The sequence below is a fragment of the Homo sapiens genome, chromosome 9, assembly GCF_000001405.40.
Source record: "Homo sapiens chromosome 9, GRCh38.p14 Primary Assembly".
Taxonomy (NCBI): Eukaryota; Metazoa; Chordata; class Mammalia; order Primates; family Hominidae; genus Homo; species Homo sapiens.
Genome location: NC_000009.12, coordinates 128,942,594 through 128,958,292, shown reverse-complemented (window position 1 = coordinate 128,958,292; position 15,699 = coordinate 128,942,594). Strand labels below are relative to the sequence as shown.

General features: G+C 48.5%; 2 protein-coding genes across 2 annotated transcripts in view, besides 5 other annotated features; one reads left to right on the top strand and one right to left on the bottom strand.

The window, feature by feature from the left end:
• Nucleotides 1–10,594, bottom strand: part of NUP188 (nucleoporin 188) — a 59,398-nt gene extending 48,804 nt beyond the window's left edge. Inside the window, exons 1-6 of the mRNA NM_015354.3 lie at nucleotides 10,542–10,594; nucleotides 9,050–9,104; nucleotides 5,447–5,520; nucleotides 1,859–1,943; nucleotides 1,261–1,341; nucleotides 239–283 (exon numbers count right to left, since the gene is read on the bottom strand). Of these exons, the coding sequence (NP_056169.1) occupies nucleotides 239–283; nucleotides 1,261–1,341; nucleotides 1,859–1,943; nucleotides 5,447–5,520; nucleotides 9,050–9,104; nucleotides 10,542–10,573 (372 nt within the window). The 5' untranslated portion in view covers nucleotides 10,574–10,594. The remainder of the gene's footprint in view (nucleotides 1–238; nucleotides 284–1,260; nucleotides 1,342–1,858; nucleotides 1,944–5,446; nucleotides 5,521–9,049; nucleotides 9,105–10,541) is intronic.
• Nucleotides 10,244–10,805: an enhancer, noted in NCBI's record as "H3K27ac hESC enhancer chr9:131709767-131710328 (GRCh37/hg19 assembly coordinates)". NCBI's record gives its function as "activates a minimal SCP1, AML or CMV promoter by ChIP-STARR-seq in naive H9 embryonic stem cells {active_cell/tissue: H9 hESC(naive)}" and the evidence as "EXISTENCE:reporter gene assay evidence [ECO:0000049][PMID:30033119]".
• Nucleotides 10,475–10,524: an enhancer, noted in NCBI's record as "active region_29097". NCBI's record gives its function as "activates an Ori minimal core promoter by ATAC-STARR-seq in GM12878 lymphoblastoid cells {active_cell/tissue: GM12878}" and the evidence as "EXISTENCE:reporter gene assay evidence [ECO:0000049][PMID:35858748]".
• DOLK (dolichol kinase) lies at nucleotides 10,690–12,763 on the top strand. The gene has a single exon (NM_014908.4). It carries the CDS (start codon nucleotides 10,990–10,992, stop codon nucleotides 12,604–12,606), a length of 1,617 nt encoding a protein of 538 aa, NP_055723.1. The 5' UTR covers nucleotides 10,690–10,989; the 3' UTR covers nucleotides 12,607–12,763.
• Nucleotides 10,806–11,367: an enhancer, noted in NCBI's record as "H3K27ac-H3K4me1 hESC enhancer chr9:131709205-131709766 (GRCh37/hg19 assembly coordinates)". NCBI's record gives its function as "activates a minimal SCP1, AML or CMV promoter by ChIP-STARR-seq in naive and primed H9 embryonic stem cells {active_cell/tissue: H9 hESC(naive and primed)}" and the evidence as "EXISTENCE:reporter gene assay evidence [ECO:0000049][PMID:30033119]".
• Nucleotides 10,875–10,944: an enhancer, noted in NCBI's record as "active region_29096". NCBI's record gives its function as "activates an Ori minimal core promoter by ATAC-STARR-seq in GM12878 lymphoblastoid cells {active_cell/tissue: GM12878}" and the evidence as "EXISTENCE:reporter gene assay evidence [ECO:0000049][PMID:35858748]".
• Nucleotides 11,368–11,930: an enhancer, noted in NCBI's record as "H3K27ac-H3K4me1 hESC enhancer chr9:131708642-131709204 (GRCh37/hg19 assembly coordinates)". NCBI's record gives its function as "activates a minimal SCP1, AML or CMV promoter by ChIP-STARR-seq in naive and primed H9 embryonic stem cells {active_cell/tissue: H9 hESC(naive and primed)}" and the evidence as "EXISTENCE:reporter gene assay evidence [ECO:0000049][PMID:30033119]".

The window sequence follows — 15,699 nt, the reverse complement described above, 5'->3', positions numbered from 1 at the left end:
AAAAATATCCATGAACTTGTTCTCACCACCAGTAGCTGAAGAATCTCCTTGGGAGAAACTTCTCTACTGGGTCCAGTGGATAAAAGCATCTTTTCATAAATGAGTTAATATGCTTCTTCATAAAGACCTCCATGCTTACCCAACAAAGAGTCAAAAGCCAGCAATGCTCAGGAAAATGAGGTCAAGAAGCTGTCACTCAATTTTACATCAAAGAATAGAAATGGTGACTACTACTGACCTTCAGGATTAAGGCCTGGCTCTGCCTCTCATCTTGCAGTACTGTCTGAAAAGAAAAACAGAGCAGTTAAGAGGCCATCTTTTAGGCAAAACTCAAGTAATAAAAAAAGATAGATACCTTCACTTCATCCTTCAAGATTATAATTGCACATTTGTTTCTACATATACTTTCCACCTTACTTTTTACCCAAATGTACCCAAACCTGTGCTCAAATCCCTCCCCTTCTCCTCTGGCCTCAATCCTCTTATGTAAAATGAGGGGCTGGGCAGGCTAGAAATTCTACCAAATCCTGGCCGGGTGCGGTGGCTCACGCCTGTAATCCAAGTACTTTGGGAGGCTGAGGCGGGGGGATCACGAGGTCAGGAGATTGAGACCATCCTGGCTAACACGGTGAAATCCTGTCTCTACTAAAAACACAAAAAATTAGCCGGGCGTGGTGGCAGGCGCCTATAGTCCCAGCTACTTGGGAGGCTGAGGCAGGAGAATGGCGTGAACCCGGGAGACAGAGCTTCCAGTGAGCCAAGATCACGCCATTGCACTCCAGCCTGGGAGACAGAGCGAAACTCCATCTCAAAAAAAAAAGAAACTCTACCAAATCCTTATCACCTCTAATAGCCCAAGATTCTATGATTAACATGTCAGTCTTTGACCTCTCCACTCCTCCAAGTATGAAGACAGATCTCAGCTTATATGCATATATATTCTTTACTTTTTAAAGAGATAGGGTCTCACTCTTTTGCCTAGGCTGGAGTGCAGTAGTGCGATCACAGTTCACTGCAGCCTCAAACTCCTGGACTCAAGTGATCCTCCTGCCTCAGCCTCCCAAGAAGCTGGGAGTACAGGCACAAGCCATTGCACCCAGGTCATGTTTTTTTTAAAGCCTTTAGTAGGTCTTCCCTGAAGATGACGGTACCTGATCACCTACCACCGATAAAAGAATTGGTGCCAAAATCCTACATTATCTAAAACCAACAGGGAAAAAGGATAAAGGCAGAAGAAAGGAGCTGACATAAACCACAAACCTTTACTGAGTCCCGAGTACCCCTGTAGTCCTCTTGCAGGTAACACTGGAGTAACTGCACACTCTGTTCTTCATCAAGACCCTGAAACACAGAGATTTTAAGTAAGGAACAGCTCAGAAATCGCACACAGGATGCAGAGAATTTAAAGATTTGTCTTCTACAATGAACACAGGACTTGAATAAACAAAAATGCTTCTCAAAGATTCATAAAACATAACAATTCTGACTCTAATAGAAGACAAGAGCCAGTCACTGACATACAATTTTTATTACAATTAAATGTACATGCCAGAAACAACGATGCTTATTCACTAAGCACATTAATACAGCAGTAGGCATGATGTGAGCTTCCAAAATGACAAACTTAGTCACCTTAAAGACCACCACATGTCTGGTGAAGAAAACCCTATGATATGCAGTGAATGGATCAGGCAACTTTGACTTGTAACTTTTAGGGAGAAGAGTTGCAACCTGGGTATTTATAAAACAATTTAATCCCCAAAACAAAAAGAAACTGAATTTTCACTATCACTAGCAATATAACCACGCACATCCACACTGCAAGTAATAAATTGAGCGAGTGCTAATTTTTACTCACCAAAAACTTGCTGATTCTTAAACCCAGTTCCTTCAATGGTGAAGCTACATCTTTATTAGCTTTCACTTTTTCAGCTGAACTTGGACTACAAAAAGAACAGTGAATCATTTCTTCATTCTCAATAGCCCACTGAGTTTAAAATAAAAATATTTTAAAATATTTTTCCTACAGACTATTTTCTGCCCTTCAGATGCCTATAAACACACACACAAACACACACACGCACACACACACACACACACACACACACACCCATTCACCTCTACAAACTTCATAACGCAGAACTGGTTATGCCTAACAAAACAAAACAAAAAAAAAGTGGTTAAATTACAGTTATAACAATGTTATTTGTAAACACATTAAGTTACATTATTTTTGATCCTTACTACTGCCCTAAAAGGCAAATATTACTATTCTCCTTTTACAAATGGAATTGCCAGCACTTAGGGTAAATAACTTACCAAAAATCCCACAGCTCATAAACAGTTGCTAAAATTTAAAACCAGGTCTGTGGCATACATACATATATTAATATATTATCTGTAATAGCTCTGTCCACCGAGAAGGCCTAGAATTTATAATACTCCAACAGCAGGAGGTACATGCAGCACCCAGATCCTGCTTTATAATACCATTCTCTAATAACAGGATTCCTTGGAGAATTGGTTGATTCTAGAGTCAGGGCAAGGAAAATACAAGAAAATCTTGAAGCATCTTATAGTGAAAAGAAGTACAAAAGGGCTTAAGAAACCAAAGTCCTTTCGGTAGGAGATGACATAATAGAAAAAAAAGAAAAGAAAAAAAGAAAAAAGGAAGGACACGCCCAAAGGACAGAGGCCAACCTAAAAGAATGCCCAATAGCCAAAGCTGAAACAAGGTATAAACAAAGTATAAGATAAATAAAATAAATATATTTGAGTCTATACTGATATAAACTAATGAATAAATAAATAGGATAGGGAGGGGCCAGAACAATGGCTCATGCCTGTAATCCCAGCACTTTGGGAGGCCAAGGCAGGAGTGTAGCTTGAGGCCAGGAGTTTGAGACCAGCCTAGACAACAAAGTGAGACCCTCATCTCCACCAAAAGTGAAAAAAATTAGCTGGACATGGCTATATTTAGTACTCACTTCCAAAAAATAAAATAGGAAAAGAGAAAAAAGTAACTTTACAGAGGAGAAACTTGGCAAATGCCTCCTTAACTGAGTGACCAAGATTAACATTACCAGTGATTTCATGTGGACAGCATGTACTCTCTGCTATGATGTGGTAAGAAGGGTAGCTTGGCCAGGCGTGGTGGCTCACGCCTGTAATCCCAGCACTTTGGGAGGCTGAGGCGGGCGGATCACCTGAGGTCAGGAGTTCAAGACCAGCCTGACCAATATGGTGAAACCCTGTCTCTACTAAAAATACAAAAATTAGCCAGGCATGGTGGCATGCACCTGTAGTCCCAGCTACTCGGGAGGCTGAGACAGAATTGCTTGAACCCAGGAGGCAAAGGTTGCAGTGAGCTGAAATCGCACCATTGCACGCGAGCATGGGCAACAAGAGCGAAACTCCATCTCAAAAAAAAAAAAAAGAAGAGCACCTCACCTCTGTGTATTTTTCCCAAAAACTCACAACCCCAGTCTAATAATAAGGAAAACATCAGACAAACCCAAATTGGGGGCATACTACAAAATAACTGACCAGTCCTCAAACTTGTTCAAGGTCATGAAAATCAAGGTAAGACTAAGACATTGTCGACATTGTCACCGGCCGCGGTGGCTCACGCCTGTAATCCCAGCACTTTGGGAGGCCGAGGCGGGCGGATCATGAGGTCAGGAGATTGAGACCATCCTGGCGAACACAGTGAAACCCTGTCTCTACTAAAAATACAAAAAATTAGCCAGGCGTGGTGGCGGGCGCCTGTAGTCCCTGCTACTCGGGAGGCTGAGGCAGGAGAATGGCGTGAACCCGGGAGGCAGAGCTTGCAGTGAGCCGAGATCGTGCCACTGCACTCCAGCCTGGGCCACAGAGCGAGACTCCATCTCAAAAAAAAAAAAAAAAAAAGACTAAGACATTGTCACAGCGGGCGCCTGTAGTCCCAGCTACTCGGGAGGCTGAGGCAGGAGAATGGCGTGAACCCGGGAGGCAGAGCTTGCAGTGAGCCGAGATCGTGCCACTGCACTCCAGCCTGGGCCACAAAGCGAGACTCCATCTCAAAAAAAAAAGACTAAGACATTGTCACAGCTAAGAGGAGACTACAGGCACTTGACAACTAGGTTGGATCCTGGAACAGAAAAAAGATAGTAAAGAAAACAATAGGCTGGGTATGACGGCTCACGCCTGTAATCTCAGCACTTTGGGAGGCCGAGGTGAGCAGATCACTTGAGATCAGGAGTTCAAGGCCAGCCTGGCCAACATGGTGAAACCCCATCTCTACTAAAAATACAAAAATTAGCTGGGCGTGGTGGCGGGCACCTGTAATCCCAGCCACTCGGGAGGCCAAGGCAAGCGAATCACTTGAACCCGGGAGGTGGAGGTTGCAGTAAGCTGAGATGTGACACTGCACTCCAGTCTGGGCGACAGAGCAAAACCCCATCTCAAAAAAAAAAAAAGAACAGACACTGGAATGAGACCACCAGGGTCAAATCCTGGTTCTATCACTTAGTAGCTGTGTGACCATGACAAGTTGCTTAACCTCTTTGTGCCTCAGTTTCCCCACTGGTAAAATGGAAACAATGATAAGGGTACCTAAATGTGATAATATAGAGATTATCTTTTTAAAAAGTCCATGTATTTTAGATACATAGTCAAGTATTTGCAGATAAAATAACAAGGTATCTGGGATTTACTTTAAGGTAATTACAGGGGAAGAATTAACAGACAGATGAATAACAAGGAAAAGTTCATCGTTAACCTAAGAGAATGAAAATGGAAGGTAAAGATGTAATACATTCAAAAGCAGTACAAAAGTAGAAGGGAAATGAGGGTGACTTAGACTATAACGCATAATAGAATGAGATCTGGACTAGGAATCAAGATCAAATAAGCCCAGCCCTACAAGCTGCATTCTCTTTATTTGCAACTACTTTATATTTTATTACTATGTTTTCCACTACCCAATAAAAAGATCTATATATTCACCCAAAGAATAAAAGTAGTAACTATCTCAAAGGGGTGTTGTGGGGATTAAATAACTTTTGATAAGTCAGGTGCTTAGAGTATTAATTGTTACATAGTTAACACTACACAAGTGTCAGTTGTTAGCATCATCCTTCACTGCTATCTCCCACCAATTAGTACTCACACAGACACTGTGGACTCTGAATAAATATTAGAAAATTCGTTGAATGTTTAATAAATTCTCATCCCCACACATAGGTCATAATTATATTCTACAATACTGTATTTCTAGAAGGAATTTCCTTTTCTTTCGGTCAACAAAAAAACAAATGTACCCTACTGTTTTCCACTGGTAAACTAAATTGTATTATCTCTGGTATACATAACCCTACAATATCATCAAAGCACATAGAAGGATGGTTTTATCCATGTCAGCTTCCTTAGGACAATTACTTTAACCAGACACCCGGAACTGCCATACCTGGGAGGTTTGTAGTAAGAAAGCCCCTCTAACAATCGCCGCCAATGTTTATTCAGTTCTGCCTCAATCTGACTCTGGAAAAGAACAAGGTAATTATACAAATGCAGTATTTTTTTTTTTTTTTGAGACAGAGTCTCACTCTATCACCCAGGCTGGAGTGCAGTGGCACCAACTTGGCTGACTGCAACCTCCGCCTCCCAGGTTCAAGTGATTCTCGAGCCTCAGCCTCCCGAGTAGCTGGAATTACAGGTGCCAGCCACCACACCCAGCTAATTATTGTATTTTTAGTAGAGATGGAGTTTCACCATGTTGGCTAGGCTGATCTCGAACTCCCCACCTCAAGTGATCTGCCTGCCTTGGCCTCCCAAAGTGCTGGGATTACAGGCGTGAGCCAAGGCACCCGACCGCAAATGCAGTTTTTTGTGCTTTCTTTTTTTTTTTTTTTTTTGAGACGGAGTCTCACTCTGTTACCCAGGATGGAGTGCAGTGGCGCAATCTTGGCTCACTGCAACCTCCGCCTCCTGGGTTCAAGCAATTCTCCTACCTCAGCCTCCTGAGCAGATGGGACTACAGGCGCACGCCACCATGCCAGTCAGTTTTTTTTGTATTTTTAGTAGAGATGGGGTTTCACCATATTGTCCAAGCTGGTCTTGAACTCCTGAACTCGTGATCTGCCCATGTCAGCAAAGTGCAGGGATTACAGGTGTGAGCCACTGCGCCCGGCCCAAATGCAGTTTTATTAATAATCAGACTCGGCCAGGCATGGTGGCTCAGGCCTGTAATCCTAGCACTTTGGGAGGCCGAAGCGGGCGGATCCCCTAGGGTTGGGAGTTGGAGACCAGCCTGACCAACATGGAGAAACCCTGTCTCTACTAAAAAATACAAAATTAGCTGGGCGTGGTGGTGTATGCCTGTAATCCCAGCTACTCGGGAGGCTGAGGCAGGAGAATCACTTGAACCTGGGAGGCAGAGGTTGTGGTGAGCCGAGATTGCACCAATGCACTCTAGCCAGGACAACAAGCACGAAACTCCGTCTCAAAAAAAAAAAAAAAAAATCAGATTCCAGAATCACACTAAGTATTACACATTCCTTTGAGTGTTTTTAATATGCATTTTTCCCCAGAGTTGAAATCATTTTGAATACAGAATTCTGTAACCTTCTTTTCTTTGCTTAACATTATAACATAATGACTTAACCTTATTATGAAAGTCTTGATAAACATACTTTCAAGTTGCTGCATAATACTTGTATCAAGTTGGTAGATCATAATTCATTTACCATTCCTCTAATGTTTGATATACTTAAGCTGACTGTAATTATTTAATAATATAAATGATGTTGTGGTGAAGTTTTCTTTGTTGTTTTTTGAGACAGGGTCCTGTTCTGTCACCCAGGCTGGAGTGCAGTGATGCAATCATGGCTCACTGCAGGCTTGATATCCTGAGCTTAAGCGATCTTTCCACCACAGCCTCCTGAGTAGCTGGAACTACTAATACAAGCATATGCCACCAAGCCTGACTTTTTTTTTTTTTTTTTTTTGAGATGGAGTCTCGCTTTGTCACCCAGGCTGGAGTACAGTTGCGCGATCTCGACTCACTGCAACCTCCACTTCCGGGTTCAAGCGAATCTCCTGCCTCAGCCTCCCGAGTAGCTGGGATTACAGGCATGCACCACCACACCGGGCTAATTTTGTATTTTTAGTAGAGACGGGGTTTCTCCATGTTGAGGCTGGTCACGAACTCCTGACCTCAGGTGATCCGCCCGCCTCGGCCTCCCAAAGTGCTGGGATTACAGGCGTGAGCCACCATGCCTGGCCAAGAATCTTTCTTAGGTTGAGGTAGAAGAATGGTATTTGCACCCCTACTCTCAGCAGCCAAGCAATGAACACAGGTATCTTTTCATAAAAGGAATCAATGAAATACAAAGGTAGATTTAAAAGACTTCAGCAGCTAGGCTAGGTAGTCTCATTTCAGCAAAGAAGTAGGGAATGCGTAATGTTTATAAAGCTTTTTGCTTTTTTGAGCTGGGGTCTCGATGTGTCTCCCAGGCTAGAGTTCACTGCAGCCTCAACCTCCCAGGATCAAGCAATCCTCCCACCTTGGACTCCTAAGTAGCTGGGACTACAGACATGCACCACCATGCCTGGCTAATTTTTTAAAAAATTTTTTGTAGAGACGGGGTCTTGCTATCTTGCCAGGGTTGGCCTTGAGCTTGTGCACTCAATTGATCCTTCTGCCTTGGCCTTCCAAAGTGCTGGGGTTACAGGCATGAGCCACTGCATCTGACCACGTTTATAAAGTTTTAGGAACAAAAAAAAAGTGTTTATACCAGGCACAGTGGCTCATGCCTGCAATCCAAGCACTTTGGGAGACTGAGGTGGGCAGATCACCTGAGGCCAGGAATTCAAGACCAGCCTGGCCAACATGGTGAAACCCCATCTCTACTAAAAATACAAAAATTAGCCGGGCGTGGTGGCATGCATCTGTAATCCCCAGCTCCTTGAGAGGCTAAGGCAGGAATCACTTGAACCCAGGAGACAGAGGTTGCAGTGAGCCAAGATCGTGCCACTGCACTCCAACCTGGGCGAGAGCCAGACTCTGTCTCAACAACAACAAAAAAACGTAGCCGGGTGTGGTGGCTCATGCCTGTAATCCCAGCACTTTGGGAGGCTGAGGCAGGCAGATCACCTGAGGTCGGGAGTTCAAGACCGACCTGGCCAACATGGCAAAACCCTGTCTCTACTAAAAATATAAAAATCAGCAGGGCGTGGTGGTGGGCACCTCTAATCCCAGCTACTGGGGAGGCTGAGGCAGGAGAATCACTTGAACCCAGGTGGCAGAGGTTGAAGTGAGCCAAGATCGAGCTACTTACACTCCAGCCTGGGAGCAAGACACCCCCCTCAAAAAAAAAAAAAAAAAAAAAAAAAGTGGCCGTCACGCCTGTTATCCCAGGACTTTGAGATGCCAAGGCAAGTAGATCACCTGAGGTCAGGAGTTCAACACCAGCCTGGCCAACATGGTGAAACCCTGTCTCCACTAAAAATACAAAAATTAGCCAGGTGTGGTGGCATGCACCTGTAATCTCAGCTACTCGGGAGGCTGTGGCAGGAAAATCGCTTGAACTCGGGAGGCGGAGGTTGCAGTGAGCTGGGATCATGCTGTTACACTCCAGCCTGGGTAACAAGAGTGAAACTCCATCTCAAAATAAATAAATAGGCCAGGTGTGGTGGCTCACGCCTATAATCACAGCAATTTGGGAGGCCAAGGAGGGCAGATCACCTAAGGTCGGGAGTTGGAGACCAGCCTGACCAAAATGGAAAAACCCCATCTCTACTAAAAATACAAAATTAGTCGGGCGTGGTGGTGCATGCCTGTAATCCCAGCTACTCGAGAAGCTGAGGCAGGAGAATCGCTTGAACCTGGGAGGCGGAGGTTGCGGTGAGCCGAGATCACGCCATTGCACTCCAGCCTGGGAAACAAGAGCGAAACTCTGTCTCTAAATAAATAAATGTGTTTACTTCCTACATTTAAAAAAAGGTTTTTTTTGGTAACAAAAGCTACACAAAGAACCCAGAGAACCCACTCAAGAACACCACCACTTACCAGCTCTCTCAGAGCTGACCTTCCAAGCAGAATAGTCCACAGTTCTCTACTGCTCCTGCAAAATGAGAGAACAGAGGTAATTTTGCTCTTTCTGATCATACAAACTTGTACACTGCCTCATAGCCATTTTGTCTGCTCTCTAAAAGCAAAAAATCTCAATATACAAAACGATTTGTTAAATTTTTGGAAAGTAATCTTGTTATATAATAATATTGTTAGGGCCGGGCACGGTGGCTCATGCCTGTAATCCCAGCACTTTGGGAGGTCGAGGCGGGCGGATCATGAGGTCAGAAGATCGAGACCATCCTGGCTAACACAGTGAAACCCTGTCTCTACTGAAAATACAAAAAATTAGCCAGGCGTTGTGGCGGGTGCCTGTATCCCCAGCTACTTGGGAGGCTGAGGCAGGAGAATGGCATGAACCCGGGAGACAGAGCTTGCAGTGAGCCGAGATCGTGCCATTGCACTCCAGCCTGGGCGACAGAGCGAGACTCCGTCTCAAAAAAAAAAAAAAAAAAAAAAAAAAAAAAAAGTGGGGAAAACACTGCTGGCACAGGGAAGGATAAGAGACGGGGATGTTTAACTTTGAGGGAGGGTGGTGGGAAGAACGAAGACCTTCGAGCTGCAATGTGGAAGACAGAAGGAGGCGTGGTGGTCTGGTTATAGCACTGGAGGTACGCAGACTTCAGCTTGAAGGCTCTCTTTATCACTTGGCTAGCTCTGAGCCGGACTTCTGAGTCATCTGTGAAATAGAAGGCGCCTCTCGGAGTTGCGAGAATTGAATGAGATAACTCCTGGGAAGCGCTCCACCAGGGTCTGACGCTAGAAAGCACTTTGTCAGAATTGTAGTTTTCGTATATAATATTTCATCTTCTTGTCCCTAAAGCCTAGTTCAATCCCTGAAATCTCTTGGAGGATTTGGACATGCTGGCTGACTTGATTCAGTGCAAGAAAAGAACGATACGAGGCGCGGAGAGGACAGAAGCCGCAAGCGTGGCTCCGCTCAACGCGAAACAAAATCCTAACAAGAACAGATCGCGGGAGAGGTCGGGGAGCCAGCAGGGCGCACTCGACGCCGGGGCAGGACACTGGGAGCCTGCAGCAGGGACGTGGGTGGGGGGTACCCCAGGAGACCGCAAAGCTCCCCGTGGCTCGAGGGAGCGTCACGGCCGGAGAAGGAAGCGCGGGTGGGGCGCCAAGAGACGCGTCGGAGGTGAGAGAGGAGGAAGGCAAAGGGCCCTGGGTGAGGAGATGGGAGGCCGAGCGCGGAGGGAAGGGGTGAAGAGCCGGCCCCCCTCCTGAAGAAGACTCTTCAGATCCCCGCGCGCGGGGACCGTTTGGACGTAACCGCCTCCCGTCTCGGTGCCCGTCCATCCAGCCGGGGTTGGCCCTGCCACTGTCGCCACATCCCGCCTCCAATTCCCGCCCCGCTTCCGCTCGGCTTTGACACCGCGCTTCACAGCCACCCCGGTCCATTCGACCCGCTCCGCACCTCACACACGGCCCGCCGGCGGCCGCCGCCATCTTCGCGCGCCCGCTCGCCCTAACCCCGCCCCCAGACGCCATGCCCACGTGACCGCTCGCCCCCGGACCCGGAGCGTGGGCGGGGATTTCGTCACGTGACGTTGCCGCGGGGCGGTGCCAAGATGGCGAGGCCCAAAGAGGTGAGGAGCCGGCAGCGGGGGCGGCTGTAACTGTGAGGAAGGCTGCAGAGTGGCGACGTCTACGCCGTAGGTTGGAGGCTGTGGGGGGTGGCCGGGCGCCAGCTCCCAGGCCGCAGAAGTGACCTGCGGTGGAGTTCCCTCCTCGCTGCTGGAGAACGGAGGGAGAAGGTTGCTGGCCGGGTGAAAGTGCCTCCCTCTGCTTGACGGGGCTGAGGGGCCCGAAGTCTAGGGCGTCCGTAGTCGCCCCGGCCTCCGTGAAGCCCCAGGTCTAGAGATATGACCCGAGAGTGCCCATCTCCGGCCCCGGGGCCTGGGGCTCCGCTGAGTGGATCGGTGCTGGCAGAGGCGGCAGTAGTGTTTGCAGTGGTGCTGAGCATCCACGCAACCGTATGGGACCGATACTCGTGGTGCGCCGTGGCCCTCGCAGTGCAGGCCTTCTACGTCCAATACAAGTGGGACCGGCTGCTACAGCAGGGAAGCGCCGTCTTCCAGTTCCGAATGTCCGCAAACAGTGGCCTATTGCCCGCCTCCATGGTCATGCCTTTGCTTGGACTAGTCATGAAGGAGCGGTGCCAGACTGCTGGGAACCCGTTCTTTGAGCGTTTTGGCATTGTGGTGGCAGCCACTGGCATGGCAGTGGCCCTCTTCTCATCAGTGTTGGCGCTCGGCATCACTCGCCCAGTGCCAACCAACACTTGTGTCATCTTGGGCTTGGCTGGAGGTGTTATCATTTATATCATGAAGCACTCGTTGAGCGTGGGGGAGGTGATCGAAGTCCTGGAAGTCCTTCTGATCTTCGTTTATCTCAACATGATCCTGCTGTACCTGCTGCCCCGCTGCTTCACCCCTGGTGAGGCACTGCTGGTATTGGGTGGCATTAGCTTTGTCCTCAACCAGCTCATCAAGCGCTCTCTGACACTGGTGGAAAGTCAGGGGGACCCAGTGGACTTCTTCCTGCTGGTGGTGGTAGTAGGGATGGTACTCATGGGCATTTTCTTCAGCACTCTGTTTGTCTTCATGGACTCAGGCACCTGGGCCTCCTCCATCTTCTTCCACCTCATGACCTGTGTGCTGAGCCTTGGTGTGGTCCTACCCTGGCTGCACCGGCTCATCCGCAGGAATCCCCTGCTCTGGCTTCTTCAGTTTCTCTTCCAGACAGACACCCGCATCTACCTCCTAGCCTATTGGTCTCTGCTGGCCACCTTGGCCTGCCTGGTGGTGCTGTACCAGAATGCCAAGCGGTCATCTTCCGAGTCCAAGAAGCACCAGGCCCCCACCATCGCCCGAAAGTATTTCCACCTCATTGTGGTAGCCACCTACATCCCAGGTATCATCTTTGACCGGCCACTGCTCTATGTAGCCGCCACTGTATGCCTGGCGGTCTTCATCTTCCTGGAGTATGTGCGCTACTTCCGCATCAAGCCTTTGGGTCACACTCTACGGAGCTTCCTGTCCCTTTTTCTGGATGAACGAGACAGTGGACCACTCATTCTGACACACATCTACCTGCTCCTGGGCATGTCTCTTCCCATCTGGCTGATCCCCAGACCCTGCACACAGAAGGGTAGCCTGGGAGGAGCCAGGGCCCTCGTCCCCTATGCCGGTGTCCTGGCTGTGGGTGTGGGTGATACTGTGGCCTCCATCTTCGGTAGCACCATGGGGGAGATCCGCTGGCCTGGAACCAAAAAGACTTTTGAGGGGACCATGACATCTATATTTGCGCAGATCATTTCTGTAGCTCTGATCTTAATCTTTGACAGTGGAGTGGACCTAAACTACAGTTATGCTTGGATTTTGGGGTCCATCAGCACTGTGTCCCTCCTGGAAGCATACACTACACAGATAGACAATCTCCTTCTGCCTCTCTACCTCCTGATATTGCTGATGGCCTAGCTGTTACAGTGCAGCAGCAGTGACGGAGGAAACAGACATGGGGAGGGTGAACAGTCCCCACAGCAGACAGCTACTTGGGCATGAAGAGCCAAGGTGTGAAAAGCAGATTTGATTTTTCAGTTGATTCAGATTTAAAATAAAAAGCAAAGCTCTCCTAGTTCTAGTTTTGCTGATATATTTTTTTTTTTATTTTTTTTTGAGACAGTTTTGCTCTTGTTGCCCAGGTTGGAGTGCAATGGCGCGATCTCGGCTCACCGCAACCTCCACCTCCCAGGTTCAAGCGATTCTCCTGTCCCAGCCTCCTGAGTAGCTGGGATTACAGGCATGCGCCACCATGCCCAGCTAATTTTGTATTTTGAGTAGAGACAGGGTTTCTCCATGTTGGTCAGGCTGGTCTCGATCTCCCGACCTCAGGTGATCTGCCCACCTTGGCCTCCCAAAGTGTTGAGATTACAGGCGTGAGCCACCATCCCAGCCTTGCTGATATTTAAAAAGAAAAGAGTCTTAAGGGATAGTCCAGCAACTCAAAGAACCTGAGTGTGCTATAGAGCCCCCTCTTTCGCCCTGCAGCCTCGGAGGAGGCCAGAGTGGACACTGGAGGGAGTAAAGCATAATGGTTAACACTTTAGTCTCTGGGTCAAACTAATCTGGTCAGAATCCTTGGCTGCACAGCTTCTTACTAACTTTGTGACCTTGAATGGCCAGGCGTGGTGGCTCATGCCTGTAATCCCAGCACTTTGGGAGGCCGAGGCAGGTGGATCACCTGAGGTCGGGAGATCGAGACCAGCCTGACCAACATGGAGAAACACTGTCTCTACTAAAAATACAAAATTAGCCAGGCGTGGTGGCATATGCCTGTAATCCCACCTACTAGAGAGGCTGAGGCAGGAGAATCACTTGAACCTGGGAGACGGAGGTTGAAGTGAGCTGAGATCGCGCCATTGCACTCCAGTCTGGGCAACAAGAGCGAAACTCCGTCTCAAAACAAAACAAAACAAAACAAAAAAACAACTTTGTGACCTTGGGTGAGTCACTTAGCCAGGCTGAACCTCAATTCTCTTGCAGATGGGAGTAATGACAGCCCACACCTCGCGGGGTGTTGTGAGGGTCCAGCCTAGAGCCCACCCTTGATAAGCAGTCAGAAAGGGAGTCATTTTTACCAAAGACCAGTCCTCATCTTAGTGAAAAGCCGAAAAGCTGGGCAAACCACTTGGAAACCAGAGTGACCTTTGCTCTCCTGGCTTCACTTGGAGGTGGAGAACTCCTGAGGGAAAGAGCAGAGGGCTAGGAATTACTGAAGGGAGAGGTGGGTCAACTTTGGCAGGGTTGAGGGAGGATCAGATCCTGCTTGGGCTGGATCTTGTTTTAGCCAACCCCACCCCGCCTCTGGTGTCCCACTGAGTGGTGTCCATAGAGAAAGATGGGCTGAACAGCACCAGGACCTCATCAAGGGGCCCTTCTTAAGACCTTTCCATGTTCTAATCCTATCCAAACCTGTGTTTGTCTTTTCCTAAGGTAGGAAAGATCCACAGGGGCTGGGGGAGTTTCCTGAGAGGTAAAATGACTGTATGAGGGGCCCACGCTGCAGCCTTGCTCTCTGGCTGGGAAGACAGGCTCCGGCACTGCCTCACTCCCCACCCCATCCCCCAAGGCTAGCACAGGGCACTGACAAGGAGCAGGAAATCAGTAGATTTGGGAGTCCATCTGCACTGTGTCCCTCCCAGAATTGTACACTACACAGATAGTGAATGGATAAACATTTTCCGTCACTAGGAAGATAGCACAGCAAGATTCCTGAGGCTGGACAAGGTTCTCCCTTTCTCCCCAAGCTTGGGAGGACATCAGAGGAGGTGAGAGCTTTGGTCCACCAAGGCCAGAAGCCGGGAGCAGAGCTCCAGGGAGCGAAGCTTCTGCTTGAGAATCACTGCCATGTCCTTTCCCTCAGAGGAGAGTATTGAGACATTTCTTTGGGACTCAATGGAGACGCTTCCCTTCTCTTAGGCTCCCTCCTATTGCTTGCAAAAGGAAGCAGCAAAATGTTGGTGAAAGAGCACCAGCTTTGCCCCACGGACTCCCAGGGTGGCCTTGGGAAAGGGCTCTATCCTCTGGGCCTTGGGTTGTCCATGTATATAGTTGGGGGATAGGCTACATCAGGGTCACAAACTCAAATGACTGCCAAGGCCAATCAGGTAACGCAGTGAACGACAACAGGGGACCACACTGAGCCTCTAAGGGAGCTCCAGCCAGTAGCCACCATGCTAGAGTGTAGGCCCCGTGTTGTCAATTGCATGCTCATTCGAGGAAGCTTAGGAACCTGGATTATTATGTGGAATCTTCAAGTTTTTTCTTAAATGCTGAGGCCTGGCCAGGCGCGGTGGCTCACGCCTGTAATCCCAGCACTATGGGAGGCCAAGGCGGGTGGATCACTAGGTCAGGAGTTCAAGACCAGCCTGGCAAAGATGGTGAAACCCTGTCTCTACTAAAAATACAAAAATTAGCCGGGTGTGGTGGCAGGCGCCTGTAATCCCAGCTACTCTGGATACTGAGGGAGAGAATTGCTTGAACCCGGGAGGCGGAGGTCGCAATGAGCTGAGATCTTGCCACTGCACTCCAGCCTGGGTGACAGAGTGAGACTCTGTCTCAAAAAAAAAAAAAAAATGCTGAGGCCCAGACAAAATGCGTCTGTGGGCTAGAATCAGCCTGTGTTCCCCAGTTTGTAGCCTCTGGGCCAAACCTCAGCTAAGGTTTTAGATTTGGCAGTTGTTCTGAAGGTCTGAGTGCCTGCCAAGCATGCCCAAACAGGAAGGGCCCCTGAAGGCCCTAGTCTGGCCCCCTTACTGGACATGGGAGGAAACAGGCCCAGAGGAAGGAAAGGCCCTGGCCTGAGACCAGAGAGCAAGTTGCTCACAGAGCCAGGACCAGAACCTGGAACTCTGGATTCCTAGCTCTGGGCATCTCTGCTCCCCAAGAAGAGAAGACGAGGCAGTGTCAAGGTTAGGAGCACGGGCTCTGCATGAGGCTGACCCTGCTGAACAACCGAGCAGCCACGTGACTTGGGCAGGTCATTTACCCCCTCCTTGGCTCAGCGTCGTC